Source organism: Homo sapiens, chromosome 13, assembly GCF_000001405.40.
Source record: "Homo sapiens chromosome 13, GRCh38.p14 Primary Assembly".
Taxonomy (NCBI): domain Eukaryota; kingdom Metazoa; phylum Chordata; class Mammalia; order Primates; family Hominidae; genus Homo; species Homo sapiens.
The window spans coordinates 18,868,226-18,881,005 of record NC_000013.11 but is presented as its reverse complement, the minus strand read 5'-3'; the positions used below and the strand labels follow the sequence as shown (position 1 = coordinate 18,881,005).

At 38.8% G+C, this 12,780-nt stretch overlaps 3 pseudogenes across 1 annotated transcript in view; 2 read left to right on the top strand and 1 right to left on the bottom strand.

The window, feature by feature from the left end:
• On the bottom strand, positions 849–952 carry RNU6-76P (RNA, U6 small nuclear 76, pseudogene; annotated as a pseudogene).
• Positions 9,039–12,780, top strand: part of ANKRD20A9P (ankyrin repeat domain 20 family member A9, pseudogene) — a 60,825-nt pseudogene continuing 57,083 nt past the window's right edge. Inside the window, exons 1-2 of the transcript NR_138091.1 lie at positions 9,039–9,145; positions 10,205–10,340. The product of NR_138091.1 is annotated as an ankyrin repeat domain 20 family member A9, pseudogene (transcript). The remainder of the gene's footprint in view (positions 9,146–10,204; positions 10,341–12,780) is intronic.
• On the top strand, positions 11,715–11,821 carry RNU6-55P (RNA, U6 small nuclear 55, pseudogene; annotated as a pseudogene).

Here is a 12,780-nt window from a genome sequence, read left to right as displayed (position 1 = left end):
ATATCTATTGTTCCCATGTTTATGTCCACCTTTACCCAATGTTTAGCTTAGAATGATGATTTCCAGCTGCATCATGTTGCTGCAAATGACATGATTTTGTTGTTTTTTATGGCTGCAGTGAACCTTTGGGTAAAGAAAATTTACAAAAATATCTCACATCTTTTTTTTTATGAAAGTAAGTAGTAGTAATCCATAGTTCAGATCTACTTTATAAGTGAGTCACTGATGAAGACAGTAGTTACACATTTTATAGCATTACCTTGATGTGGCAAATTTTTCTTGTTTTGTTTTTGTTTTACGTGAATTAATTTGGATGAGACTTTCTTGAATAATTTACATTTATAGTGTTTGCCTCCAGTGGGGTTGAGATGAGGAGCCTTAAATCCAACAAAGTTGTATACATGCATTCATGGGGTGACACTTAGGTTATTTAATCAGGAAACACTCATATTTGTCCACATGTAGATGCTACACGTGGAGTTAGTCCTATTCTTTGGAAATTTCACTATGTTGCCCACGCTGGTCTTGAACTCCTGAGCTCCAGTGATCCTCCCACCTTGGCCTCCCAGAGTGCTGGGATTATTGACGTGAGCCTCTGTGCCCAGCCAGAAATGTGATTTTAATTCCATAATATATAGTATATGTTACTGTGAATGCAGTGTATGTTTATTCCATAAGTAGCAAATTGACTCATTCAACAATTTCAATAGTTTTCCAGTTGTTTTGTCTTTAGTTTCCCAGGCAAATAATGCTATTGTCTTCAATCACAGTATTGATTAGTTCATCCCATTCTTCATACTGATCATTGTTTTTTGGATATGAAATAATACAGACTACTGTAATAATAAAAAAAGATGGAACACCTCCCCAATTTGCATGCCATCCTTATGCAGGGACCATGCTAACCTCTGTATTGTTCCAATTTTAGTATATGTGCTGCTGAAGCGAGCACTCCATTTCTGTAAAGCTTATGTATTTTATCTAATATATTTTTATGACAAATTTTAAATATAAAATAAAAGTGAGAACAGTGGCATTCATTTACGTTTTGCAAGCCTTTTGATCCAAACTCAACAGAAGATAGCTAGATTTTTCTGTTTTTGGATTCAGTATGTACTTAAATGCTGTTCTGGCTGACATATATGTAGAAAATCAAGCTTCACAAAATATGTAGTTGGAAAAGGGAAGAATACTATAATAGCCTTTTCAAATAGTTGTGAATATTCTTCAATAGTACACAAAAACATGGCAAGTAGTTTCTTAAAGCACAGTTGTGATAGGGAATCTGAAATAATTTCCATGAACTTTTCATCTTCTGCTGGATTAAAATTCACTGGTCTATCACGAAACTTAAATAAATTCTTTAGCTATGCATGGTCTTGTAACATCACACATTTGGAAAATATTAGCTCACTGAGTTATATGGATCTTCAAAATGTTGATGTATTCCATTGTACAATATTTTAAAAGTCACATTATTTAATAAAATCACCAGTCTCATTAAAAAGTCTTTAAGTACTGAGAAGTGGGTCAAATTCAAGGTGTAACATAGAAGTTTGCCACAGTTCTAATTTTTACTTGAAGCCTCCAATTTTATCATTGGTCACAAATACTATCAGTTGTTTTCTTTGATGTGGCAGGCTTACTTCGTTCATTTTTGGGAAAATGACTGCCAAATAACCAAGTCCGAATAACCACTATATGCCTGTCAATTGTTATTTCAAGGCAAAGTGTTGTTCCATTAAAGGGGCTTGTTCAGCCCCTTTATGGAAATAATTTTGAAATAATTTCAGAAGTGCTTTCCCTTGATAAAAGTCTCATACTTTGGTATGCAGTAAAACCTCTATGCATACTTCTTGTCACATTGAATATAAAAAAATAAAAAATAAAAAGACATGTTCCCAAGGATCAATTTTAAAAATTAATAATGATTTCAACTGCTTCATGAAATAAAACCCTCGAAAAACTGACCGTAAAAATTGGCAGTGAGGAATATTAGTGCAGTGTGGTGCCACTGCTTTAACTTTTTTGCTAAGGCACCAGAAATTTAATACACCATTGCTTTGCTACTCTCAGTGGAAATGTCAACCAAGCAGAATAGGCAAAAAACATCTCAGTTTGAAAATCGTTTGACCTTGTGGACTCCCAGAAAGGTTTGTAAGACATGTAGGGATTTGTAGACCACACTTTGAGAGCTACTGATGTGGAAGCATCATTTCCAAGCAGCAAGGTGCCATTCTAGCAGTGTATCTGGACTGGCTCCAGGAACCTAGATATAATCAATAAGGTGAGACATTGAATTTACTGTATCATTGAATTTTATTTAATTGTTTTGTATTGAGGAGAACAAACTCATCTTGTGAATCATCAGCTTTCTGTGGTTTTGAAATTACGGAATCTGCTCTTCTCTAGCAAGGGAGAGGGGTCTTCTTCTGCTGGCCCATAGCACTCAGAGCAATCTAGGAGCTCAGATATCTCCCTCTGAGATTCGTCTCTATTTTTGACATAGAAGACTTGCAATGGCTATTAATTCAGCTGCTTCTTAACTCCTAGCATCCTTACAAACAAATATTAATCCTGATTTTCAGCATATTCTGCCTTCTGGCTGCAGGAGGTAAGAGTCTCTTTAAAGACACAGTAGAGGCCTTCTTCTTTCATAGCAGGCCCTAAGCTAATATTTGGGTGACATGAGCCTGTTTTTTGTTTGTTTTCATCCTTCCACTGTAGTTGAAAAACCCAGCCAACATCACTTCTCACAGACTTACACACACGTGTGTGTGTGCAAATTGTAGAACTTCTGTAGAATGCATATATATTATATATATATATATATATAAATATGTATATGTCAGTGTTTTCTCTTTTACCTGTGCTTCCTCTGAGTCCACCATAGGTGAGAGTCTCAGTAAAGCGATACTGAAGCATAAAAGTGTTCATTACCATCCCATTTATTGTAGCAATGAAAACCCTTTGCCATCTGACTGGCAAGTAACCTAGTTAGAGTATCTCATCATGAAGGTTTGCTTTCTAGAACATTTTGGGTTACTGCAATAACCAAAATTGAACCAATAATTCAAATAAAAATATTTATTTGGTAGGTGATCTCAGGAAGCAAGTCAGTGAGTGAGGAAATAAATTAGAGGAGGGAAAAATAATAAAATATATGTTAATAAGTTGGTTACCATTGTGGAGAACAAGGGCTCAAGTCTACTCTGAATCTCCGAGACACTGTAAAAAGTACCTTACAATTGTCCCGTTCAGGGGTGAAGGCATGTATGTTGAAAGTTGGTTATCATTGTGCTGAATGAGGTTGGTTAGCATTGTGGGGAACTTCATACATAGGAAGAAGTTGGGATACTTTTCTTTCTTAGGCTGATGGTCACTCTTGGGACTTTGGTCCTTTTCCAGACAGTTCTGTGTATGAGCCAAACCTGCCTCAGTAGCCGGAGAATACCCTCAATCAGATGCCTAAGGTAGAAAACCAAATGTAGAGTTCTTCTTCCCTAAAGTTCTGGGTGAGCTCTGGGAGAGATCTGGGAGGGGCTAAGGAGTATGGGTGGGGCTCTGAAAATATATATCATAGATCTCTACTTCACATCCACATGCAAACCAAATTCAGGAAGATAAAAGGAAAAATTATAATATGTTTAGAAGAAAACCTCGCAACTGATGGACCTCTTAGTAGAGAAAGATTTCTTTAAACGGATACAAAAAGCACAAAACATAAAGGAAAATATCCAATGATCTCTCTTTCCTAAAAGGTACCATAAAGAGACTGAATAAAAAATGCTACAAACTTGGAGGAGATATTTGCAATACATGTAAACAACAAAGGGTTAGTGTGTAGTGTATCTAGATACTTCTGTGAATCAAAAAAGAAAAAAAAAAGGAAAAGAAAACCCAATAGACAAATGAAAAAAAAATCAATGAGCACAAACTTCAAAGATGACAAAACAAAAATGTTCTATCAATATTTGAAAAGATATACAATCTCATTAACCAGGGTAAAGAAAATTAAAACTATAAAATTAGAGAAAATTGAACTATGAGAATGTATCAGGTGCTGGCAAGAATGTGGGGCCACAGAAACTCTCCTTCACTTTTGATGAGGGTGTAAATTGTAACACTTCTGCGGAATGCTGATTGGCATTTCATAGTGAAGTTGAACATGCGTATTTCCTGTGATCTCTCAGTACCACTTATCGCTATATACCTAAGGAAACTTTTGCACAATAGGATGTGCATGAATTTTTAAAGGACGTGCACTCTTCTGTAAAGAATAGAGCCTTTAAAAATATATCATAAAACTTTGTAAACAAACTGACATAAGGAGGACGTTGAGTTTTGGTTCTGTTTCTTACTATTTGAGTGGACAGTTACTCAACCTCACTAAACCTCAGTTCCCTCATCAGTAAAATAAAAATAATAGTAATTTTTAACTCATAGGCTTGTTATGAAAATTAAATAATACATGTAATATCCTTATTAATGTGCTTTCTTGTTATTGGCTCAATAAATGTTAATAAAATGAGTGATTCTTATTTTCACTATGGAATTCCAGAAAGGACCATTTAAAGAAAAAAGTCATTCTTACTCCTTTGAGATTTTAAGAACTTGTTCAATAGCATTTTAATTTTATTTCTTTCTAGTCACCTGGCCTTAGTAATAGTACCTACCCCACGAGGTTGTGAAGAGAATTAAGTGAGATAAGATACATAATGTACTTTAAAAGGCTTCTGTGCCTGATGGTAGTCATGCAACCTGTGCAGCCACTGTTATTATTTTTCTATTGTACAGGACTATTTTCTATGTTGCTAAAATCTATGAAAGTTGAGGGTTACCAAAAAAGTGGGCAAAGGAGACACACAGACACTTTTCAAAAAAAGACATTTATGCAGCCAACAATCATATGAAAAAAACTCAACATCACTGTTCATTTGAGAAATGCAAATCAAAACCGCAGTGAGATATCATGCATGGCAGGGATATGGCAGGGGATAGGTTAGGGGCAGTATCCGGTGATACACTGCAGGTGGGTGGGGGGCGGGAAAGGGGGGTACAGGGAGGTGATTGGAGGGGGTGGTTTCGGGCGCTGTGGCGGGCTAGACTGCTCATGATAGAGGGGGGCGTTGGGTGCGCTATTGGGGGCTACACTGCCAGCGGCAAGGGACAGTTTGGGGGCGATACCCCACCAGTGGCGGGTGAGGAGGTGTGGGTTGTGGGCACCATTAGGGGGCTGTACTGTGGTCAATGGGAGCGAGTTAGGGGAGCTATCAGCTGCTGCACTGCCTGTGGCGGGGATCAGGTTTGGTGCGCTATCGGGACCATATTATCGGTAGTGGCATACGGGTTAGGGGAGCTGTCGGGGGCTAAGCCGTCCACGGGGGGTGCGGGCTGGGTGCGCTATCCAGGGCATCATACCCCGCGGCTGGGGAATGGTTGGGGGTGCTATCCGCTATCTGGGACTGCATTGCCCATCGTGGGGAGCGGGTTGGGGGCCTTAAGGATCCGTGGCTGCACTATTCACGGCGGGGATCAGGTTGCAGCGCTTTCTGGGGCGTCACTGCCCGCGGCAGGGGGGTTGGTTGCGGGTCCAATCCGTGGCTGCATGGCCCACGGCAGGGGGCAGGTTGGGGGAGTTATCTGGTGCTGCAGCGTCTGAGGCGGGGAGGTTGGGGGAGCTACTGGGTTCTACGCTGCAGCGGCGAGGGGAGGGTGTTAGGGGCGCCATCCCGGGGCCAACAGCGGGCGGCGGGTTAGGGGCGCTATCGGGGGGGGGGTGCCCTGAAGGACACTCCGGTGGCCGCGAAGTGCCCTTGCCAGCACCCGATCTCCCTTCCGAGGAGAAGCAGTGCGGGCCGCAAGGGCAGACAGGCCCTCCTCCTCAGGCCGGGCTGGCTGCGCGCGTGCGATTCTGGGGCCGCCCAGGCGAGCCCAGTAGAACCGGCGAGCCCAGCAGTGCCCGCCCGCAGCTGCAGCCCCACCTGCCAGCGCGTGCCGCTTCCCAGCGACTTCCGGGAGCCCGGCGGCCACCGCGGTGCAGGCGCGCGCCCAACGGCTTTGCCAGGCTCACTAGGTCTGAGAGGTCAGAGGCTGCGAGTGTCGCTGCTGAAGGCTGTGGTGGACCGGGCTGGATCGCGGATTTTGGAGATCATAGATTTGGGATCGCGGATTGGGGGTTGGATCGGGGATTTGGGGTTGGATAGGGGATTTGGGGCTGGGTCGGCGGGGGCGGGGGGTGGTAGTGAAAAGGTGACAGGGATTTTGATGTAATACACCTAATAAGGTCTGAATATTTTTAAAAACGTTTTCTTGAAGCTAGGCACAGTGACATGTTCCTGTAGTCCCAGCTTGAGCCTGAGTTTGAGTTCAGCTTGAGCAACATAGTGAGACTTGCCTCTAACAACAATAACAGCAAAAAAATAAACAAAAAAACCCCTCAAGGTTTGGATACACTCCTGATTAAGAACCCCAGAATAGATAATTGCAACCTATAAATTTCTGTATCTCAGAAACATAAGAAATCTCTAGAAGAAGTGGCGTTTGATAGGTGCTACTTCAAAGTTCTCCTTTTCAGTAATATTAGCCTGACTTATCTGTCTTTCTCTACGTCTGTGACTGGGAAGTGAAAGGAAATATTATTGGCAATATCTCTCAGCTTACAGAATAACACCTTTTCCTTCCCACAATTAATCATTCACTACCATTCAGAGTCTTTAGAAATTTGCTTATGGGTAATCTTTCAATAGGTAGAGGCTGATCCTTTCATGATTTGATGTCCCTTTGTCACCATGCAGGTGATTATGTGTCAACAAATGTTCATTACAAGTTGGGCTTTCTCAATTAGAATAGTAGCAAATCCTAAACTATTTTTTTTAGTTGAAGTTGTATTATGAACTAGCTCAGTATGTTTGCTAAGTTTATAGAGCTTTAGCATAACCAAAATGTCAGTTTTAAACACTGAAGTCCATGGAGTTAATAAAAATACAGATATGAATTCTTTTAATAATTTAGTTTTAGCAGTCCTATGAACCAATTATCTATTTGGTTAACAATCTGGGAAAATTATATACAAATATATTTTAAATGAATAAATGTTGGAAAAATTCTCGAAGCAGGTATTATGAGTCTTTTTTTTTTTAGCAATTTTTATTATATATGAGAGTCTGATTTTTTGGTAAAACATGATACTAGAGAAAGAAAATATTTTACATGCAAATACTTGGATTATACACAACCATTTAGTAACACTTTAATAGCGAATATAAAAACACAAGGGCTATATTCTAATGTGGTACACAGATTTGTTTGTTTGCCTCTGTAAGTTGAATCAACATGTAAAATTTAGAAGACTGGTGTAGATATCTGGACTTCAGGCTTATTCAAAAAAATCAAATCTGGTGTCCCCTGAGTTTCTATCACTGTTTGGTCTGCTGTGCAGAGGTTGCCCCTTTAGAGAAGGCAGGTATTCTCCAGTTTCCTACTGTGCCCACCTTAGTACTTCCTTTACTCAGGCAACCTTCCTTTGTCCTTGTAAGTATCTGAGTTTACAACTCCTATGTTATAGTATATTTCGATAAAGATTTCAAGGTTTTTAAGTCAGCACGTATTTGTTATAATATATAGTCTATAGAGTATATAAATCCCTCAGTTATGGAGTTGAATTTTAGAATTTAGAAGTTTTTGAAACTCTTTTCTTTATATATACCACAAATAATTATCTGCCCATAAGAATGCCTAGAAGCCTTTTTAGGTTATTCCTGGTTATAGTTGGATAATTTATGAATATTGCAGACATTACATCTTTCTCCTCAGTGCTCTTCCTTAGAAATGCAAGTGACTTACTGGCTTTTATTATGCGAGAAATAATTCATATGGATCAGTATGAGAATTTTTTTGATAAGCCATTATGTTTTTATTTCGGATTTATATTTTGTCTAAAATAAAAAATAATTTTAAGTAGCCCTTTAAGTGGAAGCCAATAAAAATGGATTTAAAAAGTAGAGCTGCCCTGGGGTCCCGGGATTACCATTATAATTGAGAATAGTATTTCTTACTGAGCTTTGGTTTTTTAAATATTTGTTCTTAAGTTTTTTAAACCTATTTCTCTTACACAGAACATACTGAGCTTTCAAACAGTAAAGATAAAAATCTATTCTCTTGTATTAGGGAAAAAACCCATGGACTATTTAATAATAAGGAAAATAAGTGCATTTGAAGCCAATCTCTCTTAATTCAAAGCTCATTTCCATAGTGACCCATTTGGAGCAGGAGTGCCTGACATTCGCATCTGGGATCCTGACACCATTGATAGAAGTGAATCAGGCAAGTTTGTACCACCCAGAAAAAACCTCCACCTGCATTGGGAAGCTCTGGCAACTGTACCCCTAAAACTCTTAATTCCTCAAATGTTAATGTTTGCCACAAATAGTATTGTCAAATGGGGATTAGGTAAAATTCAAGAGATTTCTTGATTATTGGACATAACATACAGTTTTATAATACTTCTCAAATGCAGATGGTCATGGAGTCTTTCTCTTGGGGTATAATACTTCTGGTAAGGCAAATATTCTTTGGAATATAGTTTAAGAAACACTGCTTTAGTGAGAATAATTTAGATCATTAATTTATGTAAAAAACTTAAAATGTTTGCTACTGTGTCTTAGGGTTTTGGGGCTATAGAGACAAAAGATACAGCCCTTGCCTCAAGAAGCTCTTGGTTTCAGTGGGACACAGTGAAATGATTACAATGTACCATGCTAAGTGCTGTGATCAAAGCAAGGATTCTTGGGACTGGTAAATGTTTAAAGTGAGTTTTGGCAATGACCACAGTTAATCCGGGGAGACAGAGGAGGGTTGTTTGCAAGGCAAAAAGCAGCACATCAGAAAGCACAGAGGAGTGAGAAGGAAGGGACTGCTTTTCATTTACTTCCTTTGTATATTGTATGTTGAAGTTCAAAGCACCTTAGAGAAGATTTTCAGTTCAGTTGAGAAATATGTAATTTTGTGAATTATTAATTTTTCCTGCTGTTTTATAGGACAATAATACCCCACTTTTATTCGCTATAATTTGCAAGAAAGAGAAAATGGTGGAATTTTTATTGAAAAACAAAGCAAGTACACATGCCGTTGATAGCCTGAGATGGTACAGTAGTTCTTTTTAAATGAAACCTGAGTATTCTAGAGTGGTAACAGTCACTCAAGTCAGAAATACTAATAAGAAGATTAATGTAATTATTGGCATGTAGTGAAAAATGTCACCATGAATAATCAGATAGATCAGCAAATATTTAGACTGAGTAACATAAAGAACAGTATATAGTAGGATTCATCTTCTCCTATAATACAGAGTGTTTGTTATTTATAATTGGATGTTTTTGGTACTGTAATCTTTTATTAGCTAAAGGGTTTTGTATTAGCTTTATTAAGTTTTTTTTGAGATGCAGTCTGGCTCTGTTGCCAGGCTGGAGTACAGTGGTGTGATCTTGGCTCACTGCAACCTCCACCTCTCAGGCTCAAGCGATTCTCCTGCCTCAGCCTTCCAAGTAGCTGGGACTACAGGCGCGCACCGCCATGCCCAGCTAATTTTTGTATTTTTAGTAGAGATGGGATTTCACCATGTTGGCCAGGATGGTCTCGATCTCTTGACCTTGTGATCTGCTCTCCTTGGCTCCTCAAAGTGCTGGGATTACAGGCATGAGCCCCTGCACCTGGCCAGTTTTATTAATTTTTAAAGTGTGGACTTTTAGTTTATGACTACTAGTATTATCATCATCATCATTATTGTTGTTGTTGTTTTCAGTCTGCAGATAGCTCTTATCTGACCCCTAGCTGATATAAATTACAATATATCAGACTAGGAAAGCAATGGGGAAATCTTCATCTAAATCTTTACCTGCTTTAGATAAGTGACCTCAGCACAGTTTCTTGGCCATCAAAGGACTATGAGTTAGCAACTTGTATTATGTCATACCCCAGTGGGACAGGAGGCTTCCTTATTGTCCTTTTCTTTTAGACTTGGTGACAATTTATAAAGATGAACACCTGAGCACCCTAGATGCTTATAGACCCAAGCTAGTACATGCAAAATGTTATTATGTCTACACTGACAGGTGGATATTAAATTGGTAAAGTGTATCAAACTAGCTGTTTAAAAAAGTCTTTATTAAAGTTCTTGAGTGGAGTGATTTCCTTGTTATTTTAGAACAGCCCTTATGCTTGCTGTGCACTATGACTCACCGGGTATTGTCAACATCCTTCTTAAACAAAATATTAATGTCTTTACTCAAGACGTGTGGACAAGATGCAGAAGATTACGCTATTTCTCGCTGTTTGACAAAGTAAGTGTTTATGTTAAAAGGCCAGTTAATATTGAATTGAAGTTTAAAATAATTGCAACTATTCCATCTTATACATTAGGTGAGAGTTCCTAGTTTTGTTCAGATGGTTTGAAATAGCAATGAGTTAGTCTACCTTTTAGCCAGAAATCAAGCAGAAGTCTAGATTAGTTAGAAGTAGAGTGCAAGATGTTTTCAGGATTTTTAAGACCTTTATCCCTAGGGATCTCAATGTTGTTCATTTTATTCTAAGTATAATCCCCATGCATGGGATAAAAAGAGCCACATTTTTTACTTCTTTTCCTTTCTTTTCTTTTTTTTTTTTTTTCCTTGAAACAAGGTCTCTGTTGCCCTGGCTGGTCTTGAACTCCTGAGCTCAAGTAATCCACCTGCCTCGGCCTCTCACAGTGCTAGCCACCGTGCCTGGCCTGACTTTTCTAATTAGTTATTGGGTCTTGAAATGTCCAATTTAGCAGAAAATCTTGTATTTTCCCGTGGGGCTATCTCCTGTGTCTTCCTTCTTTGAATTTTCCAAGAAGCTAAGGGGTTTCCTAAGTCCAAGGAAGGCAATCTTTCTTTACAAGTCAGAAGAAGGGGGAAAAAGGCCATTCTGATCTTTCTGTTGTTTCCATGGTCTCACTTCCTGTATTGTTGCCATTGTAACCAGTCCTGCAATCTGATAATGATTGACCTTTGCCACCAGGATGCCTTCACTCATTCAGACCCCTCAGTTTTTGTGGTGATTCACACATAGAGTTCAAAGCTACGGTGTTTATTAATTTATGTACTTATGCTCAGTCGTTGTTCCCAGCACCCTGATCTGGCAGCTAGGCCTCCTAGCTTTACCCACACAAATGTCGAGCAAGTTGATCCTCACCCTACAGTAAAAACCTTATTTGGAGCCCACATCTTAGCTAGACTTAGCCTAGGCATTCATGGTAAGTTATCCTTTGAGACCCGTGTTTGTCTGTTCTTTAACCAATATTAGTTGGGATTGCTCTCAACAGTCAGGGATGTTAAAATCATGTTGCAGGAAGAGATTAGGGTTCCCTTTCCCTTTTGCTATCAGATCTGTACCTTGAGGCCTTTTTACATCCTGTGGAGCAGCTTTTGTTAGATAGCAGAAGGTTCCATGTTATCTTTCCACCGAGTAGTGGGAACCAACTTGCAATTGGCCCCTCAATTAATGTGTCTCTATGATAATGAAAATCTCCTGGGCTAATCACAACTCTTCCAGGAGTTTTAAATGTATTTTAAAATTCTACCTCACAGGAAGCCATTCAATAAAATTCTCTGAATCTAAAGTCAGTGAGTTAGATTTAACAGAGCTAAGCCTCATCCATAACTCATGAGTATCCATTTATCAAACAGGGCTTTGTACTTGTTTCAGCAGCACATATTTTAAAATTGGATCAATACAGAGCAGGTAAGCATGGCTGCTGCCTAGGGATGGCACACAAATTCAGAAAGCATTCCATATTTTGCATAGTCCCGGGAAGGTCATTTGACTATTTGTTGAGTAGCTCCAAGGAAGCAGTGTGAGTGAAACCAAAACAGAAGACACCCAATATTGAAATTGTGATTATCACTATAAAACTATTGATGTAAGGTGATCTCTGAAATGAGAACAGAGCTGAGTAATAAGGGGATGTTACTTGTTGCTAGTACATGTCTTGGAAATGACAAAATGTCAACTTGCATTTCCTTCATGGAAGTGAAAAACAATAAAAGCAGGGTTTTGTCTCATCTGTTAGTTGGAGAGGACCATGGAGATCCAGCGTCCTAGCACAGATCTGCTGGCTCAGAGTTTGAGGAGGTAGAGAAGGAGAGGTAGTTGTCCAAGCCCAGGTTTTGACACCTATTAGTTTTCTGCCTTTGGTGTGATTGATGAGCTCAGTGATGGGAGACAATTAGGTAATCTATTTTAATCAGATTAGTTATGAATTAGGTAAAATGCCCTGAATTACAAGCCACAAAGAATACAACTTAATAACCAAAATTAGCACTTAATAACATTTTCTGAAAACTGCAACAATTGAATATTAGAACTTATAGAAAAACACACACCAAGCAATAAAGTTCAAGAATAAATCATTCCATTGCTTTACTATTTCCTGAACATTTAAACATGTAATCTTATTACATCTTCCTAACAACCTACTGAAGTAAGGTAGCAAAATCCTTATTTTTTAGAAGAAACCAGGGAGCCTAAGAGAAGCAACTTGTCTGAAAACAAAATATCTATTACAGAGTGAGGATTTATTCTGAGTGCAGGACATGTTACATGATGTCCAGCTAACTAGAGTTCATTTACTGAGCTATGCTTCCTCCATTTATGAGTACTTCACTTTTTTTCTTCTTTAATTATAAGCTTAATAAGCTTGTAAGGTTTAAAAATTTGAAGTATATGGGATATTAAAATTCTGATATTAGGTCTGATATT